Here is a 21,789-nt window from a genome sequence, read left to right on the forward strand (position 1 = left end):
CAAATGGGACATGAAAGGCAGTAGAAGAGCATTTACAGTAGTTTTCACACTAGGGCCAGCTTAGTTTTCCTGCTAAGAATGTACATTTCAGAGGTATATACCGAATGCTTCAGGTGTTCATTGAAGACTTCTCATTCTGGCTGGTTGTAGCTCAAACATTCCAAGCTCTATGTACCACCCAATCTTTGGATAATGTTCAGTTTCCAGCTCTCTGATAATTCTTTGCTATGACTTGAGACATTCCACGCTACTTATGTATGGGTTTTTATTCAGTGACAGATTCAATCCTTTATAGATTTCTCTATGTCTTTCTCTGGGTAGCATCTTCGTCACTGGTATCTGTTCACAGTTCCAGCTGCCTCTGCTTTTCTGGATTCCAATCTATCTCAGCTCTGCTTGAGTTTCCCCTCCTCTCATTTTTATCTGAAAAGGGAGGGCCTTAAGGCAGAAAGCCAGTAGAATAGGATTCATTTAGTTTACTTCCTTTTTTTAAAGGAACTATAGTCCTCTGATTCCTGTTATTCAATGTTTGAAAACAATTATTTTATACATTTTACCGAGATTTTTAGTACTTTATGGACTTAAGTCCTGTAAGCCCCCTCAAATTATTCCATTATGGCCAAAATTAAAGGGCTTTGATCATTTCTTGAACCAACTCTGTGAACTAAGCGTTAAATCTCTGGCCTCATTGCATTCCACTCATCCACTATTTTTGGCAAAGTTGCTGTATCTCAACTTTTTGAAATACTTCACTTGCCCTCTTGTATATCATTTTCTCAGATTTCCTGCTGCTTTACTGGCCACACCTTCTAAACTTCTTTAGTTGAATATTGCTAATTTTTTGAGCCTTCAAACATTAGAGTGTCCAGGGCTTAGTTCTTGCATCACTTTTTGGGAGACATCACCCACTCTCATGAACTTAAATCTTTGGTGATCATGATAGTGCCCAGATATTTGGTTAAACATTATTCTAAATGTATCTGTGAGGATGTTTTTGGATGATATTACTATTTGAATTGGTAGACTATATATAAGTAAATTGCCCTTTCTAATATAGGCAACCCTCATCTAATCAACTGAAAACTTGAATAGAAGAAAAAGATTGAGTAAGTGGAAACTCCTTCTGCCTAATTCTTTGATCTGGAACACTGGTGTTTTCTAGCCTTCAAACTTGGACTGAAACATTGATTCTTCTTGTATCTTGAGCTAACTGGTTTTGGGGTTGGATTTTAGACCACTGGCTCTTCTGGTTCTCAGACCTTTGGACTCAGAATGAAATTACATATCATTGGCTCTCCTGAGTCTCCAGCTTGCCACTGCGTATCTGAGGGCTTTTTAGCCTCTATAATCATGTGAACTAATTCCTTTTAATACAAACATATTATAATATATAAATCTATAAATATAAATATGTGTTTGTATTTGTGTGGGTGTATACAAACATCCTATTGGTTTTGTGTCTCTTGAGAACCCTTACTAAAACAGTGATAATCCTGCAAAACTTACCTTAAGTCTGGACTGCTCACCAAACTCAAAACTTATATATATCCAGCTGCTAACTCTCTACATAGAATATGTAATAGATATTCCCAAATTAGCATGATTAAATCTCTTTACCCGAATTCAACCTGCTCTTCCTTCAATCTTCTTCAATAGACAACAACTTCATTTTTCCATTTACTAATGGCAAAAACTTTGAAATGATCTTTGATTTATTAGAAGCCTCAGTTTAATTTATTAGTAAATCCTATCTGCTCTATATTTTTCTAGAGAAAGCACGTAAAGCTTTAATAGTAAAATATTTGCATTACACTTTACTTGTACTCAAGTAATAACAAAACATTTGTTGTTTTATTATCTCATACATTCTCTCCTCAGGTGTGGCCCATTTCCTATATGCTTGGAGTGAACTTTGGCTACATAGCTGGCCTTATTTCACTACTCTGGATGGTGTACATTTTTAAAGGTATTTGTTTTTATTACAATACAACACATACAGTGTGTTGAATAAGTCTGACTTGTAACAATCAATATGTCTTTTACAAATGGATACACCTATGTAACCACAACCCAGAACAACATATGTCTGAGAACCCTTTATGATTCCCTTCCAATCAGTAACCCCCACCATGTTAACCATTATTTTGACCTCCACTACCATAGATTAGTTCTGCCTTCATATAAAGAGAATTATACTGTATGCAGTATTTTGTTTCCAACTCAATTTATTCAACATTTTGTCTGCATGATTAGGTTGCGTTCTTACTCATTTTAGTAGCATGTTCTTCATCGTTTTATCATAACCCACTGTATGAATAAACCAAAAAATAGTTATCCATTTTTAAATTTTTTCCCCAAGTTTTTGGCTATTATTAATAAAGTTAATTATTTCTATATGTGTATTTTTTCATGGTTATATACACTTATTTTGTTGAATTTTATATTAAAGAGTGGAACTGCTTAGTTATAAGGCATAGGCATGTTTACTTTTAATAGGAAATTTCAAAATATTTTCTAAGTTGTTTCATAAATTTATCCTCAAACTAGCAGCGGAATATATAGTTCCAGTTATAACCTTCTCAAGACTTAGTATTGTCAGTCTTTTTCATTTTGGTCTCTTTGGTCTGCATCTACTGTTTAACATCTTGTGATTTAAATTAGTGATTATTTGATTATTTTTGTGTCTGAAATATCTGTTCAAGTCTCACTTATTTTTAATGATTTTTTCTGAAATTTTGTTATTATTGTTGGATAAAGACCAAGATAGTATACTGTCTTCAAGAGACCTATTTCACAGGCAGTGACAAACATAGGTCCATAATAAAGCGATAGAGGAAAAATCTACCATGCAGATGGAAAACAGAGAAAAGCAGGGGTTGCAATCCTGCTTTCTGACAAAACAGACTTTAAACAAGCAAAGATCATAAAAGACAAAGTAGAGCATACATAATGGTAAAGGGTTCAATTCATAAAGAAAATCTAACTATCCTAAATATATATGCACCCAACACAGAAGCACCCAGATTTATAAAGCAAGTTCTCAGGAACCTTCAAAGAGACATAGACTCCCACACAATAATAGTGGGAGACTTTAAACCCCCACTGACAATATTAGACAGATCAACTAAAACAACTAAAAAAACTAGAGAACCAAAGCAACAAATTCAAAGCTAGCAGAAGACAAGAAATAACCAAAATCAGAGCTGAACTGAGTTAGAGACATGAAATACCATTCAAAATATCAATGAAACCAGGAGCTATTTTTTTGAAAAAAATTAACAAAATAGATTGCTAGCTAGACTAATAAAGAATAAAAGAGAGAGGATTTAAATAAATACAATGAAAAATAACAAAATGGATATTATTACTGACCCCACAGAAATAGAAACAACCATCAGGGTATATTATCAACACCTCCATGCACATAACCTAGAAAATCTAGAAGAAATGAATACATTTCTGGACACCTACACCCTCCAAAGGCTGAACAAGGAAGAAGCTGAATTCCTAAACAGACCGACAACAAGTTTTGAAATTGAGGCACCAATAAACAGCCTACGAACCAAAAAAAAAAAAAAAAATGCCTAAGACTAGACAAATTCACAGCTAAATTCTACCAGGTGTACAAAGAAGAGCTGGTACCATTCCTACTAAAACTTTTCCTCCAAAAATGAGGGGGAGGGCCTCCTCCTTAATTCATTCTATGAAGCCAGCATCATCCTGATACCAAAACCTGGCAGAGATACAACAAAACAAGAAAACTTCAGGCCAATATCCTTGAGGAACATTAACAAAAATCTTTAACAAAATCCTGGCAAACTGAACCTAGTAGCACAGCAAACAGGTTATTCACCATGACTAAGTAGGCTTCATGCCTTAGATGCAAGGTTGGTTCAACATATACAAATCAATAAATGTGATTCATCACATAAATAAAACTAAAGACAAAAATCAAGTGATTGTATCAATAGATGCAGAAAAGTCTTTTGATAAAATTCAACATCCATTCATGTTAAAAACTATCAATAGTTACTGAAGGAATATACCTCAAAATAATAAGAGCCATATAGGGCAAATCCACAGCCATCATACTGAATGGGCAAAAGCTAGAAGACTTCCCCTTGAAAACTGGCACAAGACAAGGAGGCCCTCTCTCACCACTCCTGTTCAACATAGTATTGGAAATTCTAGCCAGGGCAATCAGGCAAGAGAAAGAAATAAAGAGCTCAAAATAGGAAAAGAGGAAGTCAAACTATGCCTGTTTTCAGACAACATGATCCTGTGTCTAGAAAACCCCATTGTCTCAACCCCAAAGCTTCTTAATTTGATAAAGAGCTTTAGCAAAGTCTCAGGATACAAAATCAATGTGCAAAAATTACTAGCATTCCTATGCACCAACAACAGTCAAGCAGAGAGCCAAATCATGAATGAATTCCCATTCACAGTTGCCACAAAAATAATAAAATATCTAGGAATACAGCTAACTAGGGAGGTGAAAGATCTCTTCAAGGAGAACTACAAACCACTGTTCAAAGAAATCAGAGATGACACAAACAATTTTTTTAAAAAATCCATGCTCATGAATAGGAAGAATCAATATCACTAAAATGCCATACTGCACATAGCAATTTATAGATTCAATGCTAATTCTGTCAAACTACCATTGACATTCTTCATAAACTAGAGAAAATAATTTTAAAATTCATATGGAACCAACAAAGAGCCTGAATAGACAAGGCAATCTTAACCAAAATAAACAAAGCAAGAGGCATCATGTTACCTGACTGCAAACTATACTACAGTGCTATGATAACCAAAACAGCATGGTACTTGTACAAAAACAGGCATATAGACCAGAGGAGCAGAATAGAGAATCCCAAAATAAGACTGCACACCTACAACTATCTAATCTTTGACAAACCTGACAAAAACAAGCAATGGGGAAAGGATTCCTTATTCAATAAATGTTTTTGGAATAACTGGATAGCCATATGGAGAAGATTGAAATTGGACTGCTTCCTTCCACCATAGATGGAATAAAGACTTAAATGTAAAACCCAAAACTATAAAAACTCTGAAAGACAACCTAGGCAATACTATTCAAGACATAGGCACTGGCAATGATTTCATGATGAAGACACCAAAAGCAATTGCAGGAAAAGTAAATATTGACAAATAAGATCGAATCAAACTAAAGAAATTCTCAAATTCAATATCAGTCATTTTTCTTTTATGGTTTAATTTGTCTTCTCCTATCTCAAAGACTTCTAGAAGTTTGATTGTTTAGCTTTTAATTTTAGATCAATGATTCATCTGAAATTTATGTTACATATGCCTGAAATCAAGGTTTATTTCTTCTCTTACAGACATCTAATTGACCCAGTGCCATTTCGTAAAAGTTCTCCTTTCCCCATTCAACTGCAGTGGACTCTGTAATACACAAGATGAGTGACAATCTTTGGGTCTGTTTAACAACTGTCTCTCATGTTGCATTTTATAACTCCTATCTTTGCATCAATGCTATGCTGATATTAATTACTCTCATTAGTGTTTTAAATAAGTCTTGATATCTGGTAGCATTGGTTCTCCAACTTTATGTTCTTCTTGATTATTACCTTACCTATTCTACATTATCTGAGCTTAACTGCATGAGGCAATTTCCATTTAAACATTTCCTCTTATAAAGCTATATATATCTTATTGGTTCTGTTTCTCTGGAGAACACTAACTAATAAACCTATTTATGATAAATATTTTAAAGAAAATAGTGAAAAGAGAGAACCATTACAAAAACTTACAGCAAGTGTTAATCTTGCTGTAGGTATTAAGCATAGTATCCGACGGATAATTATTCAATCCTCACAGTCCTCCCACCCTTCACTCTTAAGTAGACCACAGTGTCTATTGTTTCCTTCCTTATATTCATATATACACAATGTTAGCTCCCACTTGTAAGTGAGAACATACAGTATTTGATTTTCTGTTCGTGTGTTAATTTGTTTAGGATAATGGCCTCCATCCGTGTTGCTGCAGAGGACTTGATCTCATTTTTTTAATGGCTGTGTAGTATTCCATGGTGTATATGTACCACATTTTCCAGTCCACCATTGGCAGGCATTTAGGTGGATTCCATGTCTTTGCTATTGTGAACAGTGTTGCAATGAACATATCTGTGCATGTATTTTTATGGTAGAATAATTTATATTCCTTTATATCCCTTTGGGTATATACCCAGTAATGAGATTGCTGTGTTAAATAATAGCTCTAAGTTCTTTGACAAATTCTTAAACTGCTTTCCACGGTTGATGAACTAATTTACATTCTACCAGCAGTGTATAAGCATTCCCTCTTCTCTGCAATCTCACAAGCATCTGTCATTTTTTGACTTTTTAATAGTAGACATTCTGATGGGTATGAGATAATATCTCATTGTGGTTTTGATTTGCATTTCTCTAGCGATTAGTGATGTAGAGCATTTTTTCATATGCTTCTTGGCTGCATGTATGTACTCTTTTGAGAAGTGTCTGTTCATGTCCTTTGCCCACTTTTTAATGGGGTTGTTTCTTGCTTGTTGATTTGTTTAAGTTCCTTGTAGATTCTGGAATTTAGACCTTTATTGGATGCATAGTTTGTGAATATTTTCTCCCATTCTGTAGGTTGTCTGTTTACTCTGTTGATAGTTTCTTTTGCTGTGCAGAAGCTTTTTAGTTTAATTAGGTGCCACTTGTAAATTTTTATTTTTGTCACAGTTGCTTTTGGTGACTTCATCATGAGACTTTGGCAACACCTATGTCCAGAATAATATGTTCTAGGTTGTCTTTTGGGGTTTTTACAGTTTGATGTCTTATATTTAAGTCTTTAATCCACCTGAGTTGATTTTTGTATATGGTGAAAGGGGTCCAGTTTCAATCTTCTGCGTATGGCTATCCAGTAACTCCAGCACCAATTATTGAATAGGGAGTCCATTCCCCATTGCTATTTTTGATCAAATTTGTTGAAAATCCAATGATTATAGGTGTGTGGCTTTACTTCTGGGTTCTCTAACCTGTTATATTGGCCCATATGTTTGTTTTTGTGCCAGTATCATGCTGTTTTGGTTACTGTAGCCTTGTAGTTTGAAATCAGGTAATGTGACTTTGTTCTTTATGCTTAGGATTGCTTTGGCCACTCAGGCTCTCTTTTGGTTTCACATGAATTTTAGAAGAATTTTTTTTCTTAATTCTGTTAAAAAAATGTTGTTGGTAGTTTGATAGGAATAGCATTGAATCTGTAAAATGCTCTGGGTGGTGTGGTCATTTTAACGATATTGACTCTTCCTATCTATGAGCATAGGATGTGTTTTCCATTTGTTTGTGTCCTCTTTTATTTATTTCAGCAGTGTTTTTATAATTTTCATTGTAGAAATCTTTTACTTTCATGGTTATCTGTATTTCTGGGATTTTATTTTCCTGGGTATTGTAAACGGGGTTGCATTCTTGATTTGGCTTTCAGCTTGGATGTTGGTGTATAGAAATGCTACTGGTTTTTGTACTTTGATTTTGTACCCTAAAACTTTACTGAAGTTGTTTACCAGATCTAGGAGCTCTGGGGTAGAGACTATGGGTTTTTTAGATACAATGTCATATCATCTGTGAATATAGGTAGTTTGACTTTTCTTTCTATTTGGAAGCCTTTTATTTCTCTTGTCTTATTGCTCTGGTTAGGACTTTCAGTACCATGGCGAATAAGAGTTGTGTGAGTGGGCATCCTTGTCTTGTTCTGGTTCTCAAGGAGAATGCTTCCAGCTTTTGCCATTCAGTACAATGTTGATTATGGGTTTGTTATAGATGACTCATTATTTTGAGGTATGTTCCATTAACGCATAGTTTGTTGGGGGATTTTTAAATGTGAAGAAATATTAAATTACATCAAAGCTTTTTCTGTGTCTATTGAGGTGACCATGGAGTTTTTGTTGTTAGTTCTGTTTATGTCATGAATCACGTTTATTGATATGCCTATGTTGAACCAACTTTGCATCCTAGGAATAAATCCTACTTGACTGTGATGGATTAGCATTATGATGTACTGCTGGATTTGGTTTGCTAGTATTTTGTTGAATATTTTGTATCAATGTTCATCAGGGATATTGGCCTGTCTCTGACAGGTTTTGGTATCAGAATGATGCTGACCTTACAGAATGAGATAGCGAGGAATACCTTCTTCTAAATTTTTTGGAATAACTTTGGTAGAATTTGTACCAGCTCTTTTTAATACACCTGGCAGAATTCAGCTTTGAATTCATCTGGTTCAGGGCTTTCTTCTATTTGGTAGGCTTTTCATTACTGATTCAATTTTGGAACTTGCTATTGATCTGTTTATGGCCTCAATTCCTTCCTGATTCACTCTTGGGAGGTTGTATATTTCCAGGAATTTATTCATTTCTTTAAGATTTTCTACTTTTTTGTACATAAAGGTATTCATATACTCTGATGGTTTTCTTGTTATGAGGTCAGTGGTAATGTCCTCTTTTCATTTTAGACAGTCTCCTATTTCTGAGATTATACTACAAGTGTGCAAATTGTAGTCATTAGGAGAACTTTTAAAGGGTACCAAGAAACTCTCTACACTATCTTTGCAAAGCCCAGTGAATGTATAATTATACTTTTAAAGTTTAAAAAAATTAAGCATTATCACTGATATGTTCATAATATTTTTATATTTTAATACAGTGTGTTATATCTCACTAGGTATGACTTAAATATTGAGAAGAAACACTTCTTTAGGCAGAGGAAAAATAATCCCAAATAAAATTATGGAAATAAATGTCGCATTGAAGAACAATGTCCTCATGGTACATACATGGATAACATACATGAATTGTAATTTTCTTGTGGAATTTAAAAATCAAATATAAAATTAAAATGCATGCTACTGTAATGCATACATTACAAAGAAGAATTTAATTGTAATTAAAGTATTATAAAATTTTAGCATTATCTAGATGTGATAAAGGTAATAATTTCTATTAGACCAGAAGAACTCAGAAATGCTATTGTAATCTCTAGTGTAATATCTAGTATTCTAGAGGAATATTACTACTACAAATCAGTAGGAGGAAATTGATGAAAATTAAAATATATCTGATTAATTCAAATGGCAAAAGAAAAAAAATGACTAAAATCAAATAACAACCCTCTTAGTAATTACACTAAATGTAAATGAACTAAACGTTCTTCAGGAACAGAAAAACTTAGCGAATACACGTTTTGTTTCATCTTCTTTTTATGTGTTAAAAAAAGATGATATTATAAGATACATCATTTACCATAAATAAGAAAGCTTTTTTGTTTCTTACACATCCTCTGCCTAACACTTTCATATTGTATTGAACAGTTGCCATAATCTGAAAAGTGAATTGTGAAAAATAAATCCAATAAATTGTGGGGAAAATAATATAGAACAATACACAACACTCTATATTATCATCAGCCTTCTAATTCTGATATTGTACTATAGTCATATAAATTGTATATTATATGGATTCACTTATCCAATTCACTTTGCAGATTATGGGGAGATGGGAAATATTAATACAATAAAGAAGGAGAAGCCTCTGGGGAGAACTAGCTAAATTAATCACACTCAAAATCACAATTGAAATATTGCGCTGTACACTTTGATTCAGTGTGTAAATGCAACTGTAAGGTTAATTATGAACTATGAAAATTAAAATAACAAATCCCACAGAGAAGGACGTTTTTCTTTAAAAACTCCAAAGGAGCAATTACATTGAATGACATGCTATTAATTTGGAGTTATGAAGGATAGAAAATCTAACTTATATAATTTATCTCTCTCATTTTCTTTAGTATTTTTAGCTCAGTATTTTCAACATAAAATAAAAAAAATCACATCATTCTTTTGGTTCAGTATATTTGAAACATTTATTATTTCAGGGATCAGTAACTGCTTTGCTCACCTGTGAACACACCATTATTTTTATTTACTAACATGAGGTGAAATGCTGAACCAAATTACTGGAGTAAGTTAGCATGTACCAAAAAGGCATCAATAGCCAAGAGATGTTAAAAATTTGAAAAATATCTGAATTCTACTGCCATAAAATAACATCTATATTAATTGAAATTTAAAAATTATTATTTACTGCTTTCATATATTTCAATCACTTGTAATTTTAAAAATTATAATTTTATGGATTAATATAGTTATTTATAAATATAGTTATTGTATCCATTATTTAATTATATATACAAATATATAGTTATTAATGCCCAAAATATATAAACATAGTCAACTAGATGAAACATGCTAATTACTATACTAAAGACTAATGAAAACTCTAACTTCACTTATGTTTTTCTATTGAATTACTTTGAAAGCAGCGTAAGGGAAAGTATGGTATGTGTACATGTGTGTTTTCTTTTTCTTTCTTTTTTTATTTTTCACAAATGGAGACTTGCTATGTTGACTAGGCTGGAGTGTAGTGGCTATTCACAGGGGTGATCATAACATAGTACATCCTCAAACTTCCGGCCTCAAGCAATTCTCCAGCCTCAACCTCCTAAGTAGCTGGGACTACAGACATGCGCCACCTCACTGGCTTTGTGTGAGTTGGAGGATGGGGTTAGCAAAGAGAAGTGCGAAGCTATATACAGGAATTAAGCCTGAAAAAAAAAAAACAAAAAAAAAACTTGAATGGGTATTTTTGTAAACTTTTCAAGTCCTTCAGACTTGGAAGAGTAAATGAAAGGTGTTGAGGAAGGAGAAAGAGATATAGTCTACACTTATTACACATTATTACTCCTTCTTCTAACCACCTCATTACATCTCCTTACCTTTGCCTCCTTGTTCCTCTACTTGCTTTCCTCCTTTCTTCTTTGTTGTGTTGACTGCTTCTTCACCTCGTATATTGGATTCTAGATAGGAATAAAACAAGCAGTTACAGGAGAGTTTTACTCATGATTAAGTTTTTTTTTGAAAAAAATTCTTTTTTATAGGATTCCCAAACACAGAAAAAAAAATACATAAGACTTCTGTTAATCAATTTAAATGCAGCCCTATGAACTTTTATAAGTCTTTTTATTTTTTCTCTAACACTTGTTGATACCAGTTGCTTGGCGATGGCCTATGATCATTTACTTCCTAATCTTGTATTCTCACACGCTAAACATATTCTCAGGCTTCATTCAAATTTGCCCAAAGCATTTTTCTTATGTTACCTCACTTATTTTTTTCTGAAACCCCATGTAGTAGGTGTTATTATCTTAATTACAAATTACTACAGATCATTAACTTACAGAGGTCATTATTGGATAGGAATAAGCAGGAATGCTAAATATTAAATACCAAAAGTGTTCTAACTATAGATCATTTTATCTATACAAGGTAAGTACCCTGAAGTTGTGCTGATTATTTTTCTTAATTGCTTTTAATACACTGCTTCTATGAAAGTTTAGACTGAAAATCCTATCAAGTATATGAAAGGTGAAAGTCTAAGTCACTGACAGTTAATCACTGCAAACGTTGATCTTGAAATCATGTTTCAAAGTGATGAAGTCAAATATTTCAAAATAAAAGTTAAAACTTGGGCAATAACAATAAATATAAAACTCTAGTACAGGAATTTATAATATCACTTATGAATCATATGTATTTACATTATCTCATTTGAATCTCACAGGAATCTTTACAGTAGGGATTATTATAACCCTTCTTTCACAGATGAAGAAAATGATAACAAATAACTTAAAACCACTCAGCTAGTAGCAAGTAGTCAAGTTGGGTCTCGAGTCACATTTTTCTGACTCCAAGTTTTATATGATTGCTTTATTGTCTGCATATAAAAAGATTAATTTTAGAACACCAGGGGCTATTGAACTGGTTCTAGTCTTTGAGCCCCTAACCATAACGGTATGCTCTGATAGCCTGGGTCACTAAAAAATAAATATATTTCATCCTGACAAGTTGAGACCATATAATTACTAGATGAATAACAATAAATAACATCATCTTTCACTTTATCATCTCTAAGCTTCAAGACTTCTGAAACTGGTTAAGGGCTCTATTGTGCTGTTAAAAAGTAATATTTATACCCATGCATTGTTCCCTGGAATCACGTGCTTCTCTTGTGTAAATATGATGTTATTCTCACAAGTCAAAGGAAAAATAAAAATAGCTAGATATGTTTAGATATTTATTGAGACAGCTCACACTAAATACTGATTTATAACTATTTGATCAATTGAAATATGATATTATAATCCTTAGTTCTAGTTTACTATGTTTTACTGGACAAACAGTATCTTGGTCACTAGTATTGATCACAAAAATAATTTGAATTTTTGCAGACAACAGACTCACTAAAAGTACGAAGATCTACAGCAGAGCTGAAATGCTGGACAACAGTGCATTCTGAATAATGCATTTCAGTCTGTGTTATTAAAAATGCAGTATGTGTCAGTCATACAAAACCCAGTTTTCATGGAGTGATCGTTTTCCCCTATTCATTGTGACTTAGAGAAAGCAAAGAGATCTTCCACAAATTAAAACAAATCTATGCTATTCCCCAAGTTATCTTTCCAAATTCCTAGCAAATGTTTAAATTAAGTATTTACTAGTAGTCAATTAATAAAGGATGTCTAAAATATTTTTACAAGTTGAAGTGTGAATGTGTGTGTATCTTTGTATGTGTGTGTTTATGTGTGTGGGTTGAATGTAAAAATAGGTTAGTATCAGTAGGAGAAAGCAGAAGGAAACAACTAGTTAATTTATATAAACATGCTTTGCTTTCTCATGGCCTTGATAATACTTAGTAACAGTCTTAGTAGTAAAGATTAGAAATAAAAGCATTATTGTATGCATTTCTTCAAAAGACTGACATTTAGAAGAAAGGAATCATGTAAATGGTGGAAATTCTCTCTTATACCATTTCTATCTTTTTCTCTTGAAAAGTCATGCAAGGAAATCAGAACTAAATTGTGGAAAGCAGTAGTAGATTCACACATATTCACTTTATGATTTGCTGCAAGAATATTCATTTCACTAGAGACTATTCCTATAGTCTGGTATTTTCCTATCATTTAACTGAGTCCATAAATTCTCCCCTGCCTCATTGTATTCCAAGGCTTGCTGAACCCTTGTTCTGCAACTGTCTGGCTTTCTGCACACCTTGCCTGACAATTCTTGCTCAGCAGTTAGTGACATCCTCTTTTCTGCTAGATATATTTCTCCACTATGCTTCCCTACTCTTGCTAGCAACCAGCTTCTTTCCACTTTATGATATTTAAGAAATTTATCATAAAAATTTTTCTTGATTGTTTCTTTGGGCCCAGAAAAGTGAAGTAAACAGAACAAAGAAAATAAAAGATTTTCTTAAAAAAGAGAGATCTGGTAGGTTAAATTCAAACATTTATCTCTCTCCTGCCTTTTAATAGTTAAGGAGTAATATTTTGGCAGTGCTTAGGATCTAATTATGTTTTGTTTTTGCCACCAACCTCCTCTTTTTAAAAGGAAAGCTTTTCTGTGTACCTATATGGAATTAGCTCTAAGAAATCTTTCACCTCACCACATTTTTCCAGTCTTCTTAGATAACACTTCGTTATTTTTGATTTCAGTGAAAGCATTGCCTAATTTATACAATATTTCATAACTTTCCCATGTAGAATTTTGAGACTTTCCTTTTTAAATCTCCTACTACACTTCATTCATGGATTTATCATATTTACAATAGTCATCTTGTTATATATATGATGGACCAAACTATATTGTAAGCTTCTTGTTGACAGAAAAAGTATTTGATTCCTCTCTTTATACCTAGAGGCAATAGCACTGCCTGACACCTAGATAATGCTCAATAAATGTTTGTAATATAAAGAATGATGACAAGAAAGAATACTTAAAAATTGAGGTGAGAAAATACACAGAAAACTTCTTAGAAAAGTGAAGAGATGTAGGAAATACTAATGGATTGGGAAAATTAAAGAAAGCAAGTAAAAGCACAGTTAACGCTTGTGATGGTGGTGGCGGCCCAAATGGAGCAGCCACTGCAAGGACATCAGCTGCGGTGGGAGAGGCACAGTCAGAGCTGCACGCTCCACAGGGCCAGCAGGGGCCAGGAATAGGTGATCCCAGCAGGAGCACCACACCCTACTGAGTTGGTTGGGCAGGAGCCCATGCTCCTGGGTGCAGCTGCAGCTGCCCAGCTATGGCTCCAGGCCCAGGCATCCGTATACCCTCAGGGGCCTGGGAAGCCTCCTGCCCCTGCAGGCTCGGGAGTGCTTGCTCCTGCTCCTGGCACATGCTCCAGTGCACAGCAAAGTTGTGGCCAAACCCAGGTGGTATCACAACCCAGCCAGGTGTGTACACACTCAGGGCAGTGCTGACATGCCAGCCCCCTGCCACCGTGGCTCTCTCTAGATTTTGGATGCTGATGCATGCAGGAGGGAGGCTGGGAGGCTGAGGGTGGCTCAGCCTGGGCCTGCAGGTGTCCCTCGGCACGGACAGCCTGGGCACCGTGGGCGGCATGTTGATGGCTGAGCCACAGGTTCCTGGGTGGGGAAGGGGAGGGTCCCCAGTGAAACCCCACCTTCAGGCCAGGGAAGACCTGAAGCCTGGGGACCAGGTTGTCAGTTCCAGGCGGAGTCCGAGACGTGGGGTGAGAACTTCCTTGATGCCTTTTGGCCAATCAGATGGTGCTCTTTCCAGGCCCACCCGTGACCACCCATGAACCAATCAGCATGCACTGCCTCCCTTCTGAGCCCATAAAAACCCCAGACTCAGCCAGACTCAGGAACTTGTTGGGACTAACTGCCTGCAGGTAGGAGCTACCCTCTTCAGGTCTCATCTACACTTGCTGAGACCACCTGCCTGTGAATAAGAGCTACCCACACTGGGTCTCCTCTAGAGTTGTCAGGATGACCTGCCTGTAGATAGGAGCTACCCATCTCAGGTCTCCTCACTGCTGAGAGCTGCCTGTCACTCAGTAAATCTCCTCTCCACTTTGCTCACCCTCCAGTTGTCCATGTAACCTCATTCTTCCCAGATGTGGGACAAGAACTCAGGACTCACAGACTGGTGGGAGTGAAAGGAGCTGTAATGTGTTCCTGGCTGGCTCACCAGCTGTAGGCAGTGACATGCTTTCAGACTGTGGAAGTGAAGATTGCAACCTTTCTGGGGGCCCAGGCCTCAGGATTCCCTGAGCCAGAGCTCTCTTCCTTCTGTAGGGGCCAAGTGGCTGCCTCACATGATAGGAAGCAGTGGCAGAGCTGGGCCAGCCTGGGAGCCACAGGCTGGAGTGAGGCAGTGGGACTGAAAGAGCTGTAACTCAAACAGGCTGAAAAACACCCCCAGAAACATGCCACCAATCCTGCTTGCCATGCGGCGGGTGACAAGAAGGAGAAAAGAGCTGCAGCCCTTCTGGGAACCCAGACCTCAGGGCTCCCCGAGCCAGGGCTGTGACACCCTCTTTGGGCATCTGCAGTTCCTGACATCTCCTAGCTCTTGGGCACCACCTCATTCCCCTTGTCCAGAGGCTGGTGCTTGCAGCGGAAGCCTCTTGTGGTATGTCTGGTCCAGCCACAGCCTTGCATGGAGCTGGTGCCTGTGCCTGTCCCTGGAGCTGCCCACCCTGCCATAGCACCTGTTTTCCCAGCTGTGCATAGTGGGTGAATCCTGAGCTCAGGTGCTCACATACACCTCTCCCTCTCTGCTCTGCTCCTGGCTCACCCTTGGCAGGTGTGGGATCCAGGCTGGTAGCACAAGCCAAGTGCAGCCTGCTAGGTCTAGTGGGTGAAACAATCCCAGCAGGCATGAGCAGAACACAAGCTGAGGCACCACCAGCCACAGAGGTTTCCAGCTGGTGAAGCAACACCCTAAGGATCCTGTGACACTTGCATACTTACACTTTCGCATTCACTATTAATGCTCAAAAATTAGGTATGCTGGATAGAAATGTTGATTACTACAGCATTCCTCTCAGCTTTAAGTGCATGAAATAGTAACAAAAATGATGATGACCACCTTAACTTACTGTTTTCCAGTAAGTAAATCCAACTGCTTATTGACTGATCATAGTACAGGTCCTTTGTTTTCAGCACAAGTGAGACATTTATGTTTATAACTTTCAAAGTTATTGGTTCCTTCATGTGACCTATGATGTGTGGAAGAGGTGTAGATATGTGATTTCAACTGGTCTCTATAAACAAAGTCTAGAATTTGGCCTGATCAGTGATAAACTTAAATAACTGAATATACCTCTAGCAATAACTATTTGAAAGGTGTAAAGCACACATTATTACTTAGACTGATCTTTCTCAAACTGTCTCTTTTCAAGGACCAGTACTTATCTCCCCAACACAATTTTGCATAGACTAATACAAGTTAATTCTATGCACACCTATCACACAGCTTGCGCCAATCAGCAAATCAGCATGACTTTGCCATCAGGACAAATAGTCTATTCCCTGCTCAACAAGACTGGATAGCCTATCACATTCTTGACTATCTCTGCCACTTCGAATTACTATACAAATTCCTAAATACTCCATATCTGTTTTTGTTGTTTTTGTTTTTGTTCTGAGATGGAGTATCACTCTGTCTTGCTATGTCTCCCAGGCTGGAGTGCAGTGTCACGATGTTGGCTCACTGCAACCTCCATCTCCCAGTTCAAGCAATTCTCCTGCCTCAGCCTACTGAGTAGCTGGGATTACAGGTGCCTACCACTACACCCGGCTAATTTTTGTATTTTTAGTAGAGGCAGGGTTTCACCATGTTGACCAGGCTGGTCTCAGACTCCTGATCTCAAGTGATCTGCCCACCTCAGCCTCCCAAAGTTCTGGGATTACAGGCATGAGGCACTGTGCCTGATCATGTCGGTATTATTTTGTTTTAACAGACACTAATAAATAGTTCATGGACCAACATTGTTCCACAGACCACGCTTTGAATAGCACTGGTTTAGACAGCTGAATATAAGCCAAACCAAGGTCTAGTGGACTCTAACCCCAGAGAAAATAAAAGCCCAACTATGATGTGGTCCATCAATACATACTTTTAAAAATTCCAAATGAAAGCCCTAACAATACAATTGCCACAATTTGCCATTGATAACGATTTATGGGTAAAATTTTAGAAAAATGATGCAGTTGTGTGAAGAAACAGTATTGTAATATAGATGTCACAAAAATCTGTTAGAGCTCAACAGAAATTGATGGTGAGATGAAAGGAGTACTTGCATTTCTGGAAATATAGTTGACCAGATATCCTGAAATCTCCCTGTGTATGAAAAATCTGATACAAAACAAAATTGGCTGAAAAAAAGATACACACACACAAATATTATATATTTAAAATAATATATAATTATGTATCATATGTAAAAGACAAATATGTGTGTATGTGTGTGTGTATATATATATACATATATGTAATTCTTCTAATCTGTCTAAGCTGTCAAGAAAATAAAGAATATTCACATGAAAGAAATATGAAATGAAAGCCTAAATCTACATCTAACAGAAGGTGCTAAAGCTGCTAACTACGGAAAGGGAGTTTGCCAGTCCCTACAATTCAGAGCTTTAGGTCATAAAGACACACATGGACATGAACACATGACATTGAACCCATGTAATGAGAGGAGTTGGAATAAAGATTTCCACAAAAGCCAACGATTTTTACATGAAAGGGTGGACCAGAAAATTGTCTGCCCCACAAAAGTAAATAGCAAAGAAAACTGACTAGCTCAGCCTGCATTTTAGTGGAAGGCTTTAATATACACATACATATCGCCTGAGTATTAGGAGTGTGGGTTTCAAATTCTCACAGGTCACATGACCTAGAAAAGCTCATCTAAGATTTAATTTTAAGTGGTCTTGGGATGAAGTCTCCTCAACACCAACCATAAGAATATCAGCTTGGGAAGAGCGCATTTAAAACCTAGTAATCATAGAATTCCATAATATCGTTAATAACATGAGTTCACAACAAACAAAACAGAAAAGAGTAGAGGAAGCAAGAATTGTGGAGAGGAGAGAATGAATGTGAACTAAATAACAACTTATGCATCTAGAGTCTGCAGAGAAAAGTTGCCAGTGAGAAATTATCTGTGATCCATGTACAAAAGATTTTTAACAGAGAAAAGTTGCCAGTGAGAAATTATCTGTGATCCATGTACAAAAGATTTTTAAGGAGAAAGATACTACTATTTAATATTAAGGAGTTTGAATTTTTATGATTAAAGTCCCTCTGCAAACTTTCAATGAGCTCTGCTACATACACAACTGCCCCGAGTGAATAATTTTTGGAGAAAAAATCTAGGGAAAGAGGCTTAGATCTAAATATGGTTCACTGATAAAAAGGATATGGCAACAGTAATGGGAGGTCATTTCCAGTGAGGGCACTGCACGGAAGCAGGCGTTCAGATCAGTCATTCTAAACTGCAGGTTCAATCTCTCCAAAGTTTTCCAAAGCTTATTATCTATTTTTAGTGTTCATTTGTTTACAATTAGTCTGTAACTTCTATTACTTATTTAGTAGAATATTTATTTTAAATTGTAGGCTCTATCAGGGAAAAAGTCAAAAAGGAGAAGCAAAGACCTTTGGTGAAGTTGATCTCTCTGGGTCCTCCCACTTTACAATGATTAAGAGACCGTATTTCCATGACATGATGTAGGGACTGCTTTGACAGTATATTTAGAGTTTATGCCAATATACCAAGCTTTGAGTGTTCTAAATAGGTGTAAAACACATATATTATATTTTATGTGTAAATTATAATCAAATATTCTCTAATTTACCTCAATAGATTCTAAAGCCTCGGTTTTACTCAGATGTTGGGATGGTGCAACTAAATTCTGCTTTTAAAGAACATACTTGTTTTTTCTGTTTTAAGATGATCTCAGAAAGACAAAAACAAGGGAAAAAAAAAACTATGACTCTTTTTATAACTGTCAATTCACAGTGTTTTCTAGTCCCATATCTCCCACCCTAAACATCAAGGGCTGATTTCCTGGATGGGTTTTGTATTTTCCAGGCATGAGGGAAGATTGATATTCACTAGTCTCTGCTTGAGATGTCTTTCTTGCTCTGGTTAATCTCAGCCTTTTGGTTGGCTGGAGTAATGAAAGTTCTCTTGTCTCCTTACATTAATGTCATGCATTGCCTCTGTTCCCAGAAGTTTCAGACAACTTTACATACTACACTAATAACTTCTTGACATCCAACTATCCACTTACCCAAATTTGATCCTTTGCATTCTCACCCCTCACCATTATAAATCTCTGCATTCTTGCAAAGAATACGTACTCTCATAGGAGTACTTCCACTTCCAAGCAAGTAGCTATTTGGATACCTAATACAAGAATTTTGTTGTCTAGGCCTTTTATTTCTTGACAATATTTCTATTGCCTTACTTATCCTAAGGCTCTCTACCCATTAGTTCAATCACATTTATTTTGTTAGGAAGAAGATAGAGATGGCATAGAAAAGAGGGTCGAAAATAGTCAAAAATACAGGAAGGAGATAAACACTTTAAGGGTTGTTAAGGAAGTAGCAAAATAACTATGTAGTGTGTAGGCTACAGTAAAAACACTGCTGAAGTCAATGAGAAAGGACCTAGTGCTTTAGTTCCTATAAACCTAAGTATCAGAGAAAGAGTAAGATGATAGAAATCTCAAATAAATTGAGGAAAAAATAAAAGCAGAGAGAGCTTGTGATGGTATTCTGGTTTAGAAGTCTGGAAAGAAATGCATTATAGGTTGTTGTTTGCCAAATGGAGAAGACAAAGTAGCATGATATATTTAGGCAAAGAAATGAGCCAGGCCAGAATTGTGGCTCGTGCCTGTAATTCCAACACTTGAGGCAGCCAAGGCAGCAGGATTACTTGAGCCCAAGAGTTCAAGACCAGCCTAGGCAATATAGTAAGACCACATCTCTACAAAAGAACTTTAAAAATTTGCTAGGCATGCTGGCATGGGCCTGTAGTCTCAGCTACTTGGGAGGCTGAGGTGAGAGGACTGCTTGAAGCTAGAAGGTAGAGGCTGCAGTGGGTCATGATTACACCACTGTACTCCAGCCTGGGTAACAAAGTGAGACACCATCTCTCTCTCTCTCTCTTTTTTTTTTTTTTAAAAAAAGGAAACATCTGAGCCATACTTTCCACATGTCACCCTCCAAACTTCCTCATAGTAATCAGGAGAAAATAGGAAAGATCTAGAATTTTCAGAAAGATTCTATGAAGGATTTGAAAGTGCTGAGAGTGCTGGTGGAAGACATGAGAGGGAGTGTGGTTTCAGCACAAGGATGGCACAGTGTGCTTCTTGCAGGTAGAGACCATGACAAAAACTGAGGACATTAACAGAGAATTCCAGCAAACACTGTTGGACTAGAAGGAGACCAGCTACTTGTTTTGGAGGTCAGAAAGTATTTAACTGAGAACATAGTGGAAATAAATGGGGAAGAGATACCTGCTCCAAAATCCTCTGTAAAACCCTGTCCATCATCCCACACTTAGATAGGGAACAGTGAAGAAAAAACAGTAATTAGGAGGTTCAAGATGGCTGACCAGATGCAGCTAAGAAATACTTCTTCCATGAAGAGAAACCAAAATATTAAGCAAATATTCACACTTCAAACAGATCTCCTGAGAGAAAACACTAAAATTCAATAGAGAGGCAACAGAAGACAACAAGGGGTGAAGGAAGAGGAAATGGGGCTGCCTCCTTGGGGTTGTCAAGTGCCAAGAGTAGCCCACAGACCAAGACATTGACCCAAGGAAGGGGTAAGTGAAAGGACCCTAGGGCTCTACAATCCCAATGAGGACATCTGCAATCCTAGCTACAGGAGATAGACCTGTAGACCTTTAGACTGGCAAAAGGAGCTGCCTGGTGACCAAGATGTACTGCTAGAACTCATGTGAAGCCTGTCAGGCTTCTGTGCCCTGGGAAGCTGTAACAAAGCACCATTCTGTGTATCCATCCCCAAGGCTCTGTGTCCTGCCCTAAGCTGCTGCTGCTGTCAGCTGAGCCAGGGAATAAGCAGGGGCCCAGGTACTCTCACATGCTTCAAAGATAGGTTTCACTCCCATAGCTGCAGGACCAAGATGCACTCAAACCATATACCCCATACCTGCCAGTCCCTCCCAAGACTGCCTTCCTGGCCATTCCTGCTGAAGGAGACTCACCTTTCCCAGTGTCAGGCTCGTAGCATATCCGCCATTGCCCTTACTGTTTTGTCTGCAACCTGGGAGGAGTTCATCCCTCCTTATCACAGCCAGTGCTTGAGCTCAAGGGGCCAGAGAACAAGTCCAGTGGCCTGTTCCTGTTTGCCCGGACTGGAGCACACCTTCCAGGGGTATGGTGATGATATTTGTAAACTGTTCTCAAGTGGGAGATAAGCATGCTTCTCCCCTATCTCTGCCTTTTCTCTCCCTCTCTGTATTCCAACAGAATACAGAAAAGAATGTGGTGCAGGTTTGTACTGTGGTGAGGGAGATAGGTGTCCCTCCCTTAACAAAACTAGACCACAAAGAATGTGGGCCGGTAGCTGAGGTTTTTGCTCTAGACAGGGAGTCTCCTGGCCTGGGATGGTTCGGTGATTAGACACAGATTGCTTGGGACTAGCCTAAACTTCCTGGCCTGCTGCTGGAAGCTGGATACTAGAAAGTGACCCATGAGTTGAGGGTGTGGGAGCTGAGTAGGTTCCACTGCCACTTGCTAGGCTGAAGACTCTGTGCCACCCCCTTCCCCCGTGTAGACTCTGTGACACAAGAGAGAAACATCCACCCTTCCCTGGAGG

The 21,789-nt window shown here is 37.1% G+C and overlaps 1 long non-coding RNA gene across 1 annotated transcript in view; it reads right to left on the bottom strand.

The window, feature by feature from the left end:
* Nucleotides 1-21,789, bottom strand: part of LOC105377350 (uncharacterized) — a 114,309-nt gene that overhangs the window by 50,242 nt on the left and 42,278 nt on the right. Inside the window, exon 2 of the long non-coding RNA XR_939033.3 lies at nucleotides 10,836-10,916. This is a non-coding gene — a long non-coding RNA (uncharacterized LOC105377350). The remainder of the gene's footprint in view (nucleotides 1-10,835; nucleotides 10,917-21,789) is intronic.

Source organism: Homo sapiens, chromosome 4 (assembly GCF_000001405.40).
Source record: "Homo sapiens chromosome 4, GRCh38.p14 Primary Assembly".
NCBI classification, from domain to species: Eukaryota; Metazoa; Chordata; class Mammalia; order Primates; family Hominidae; genus Homo; species Homo sapiens.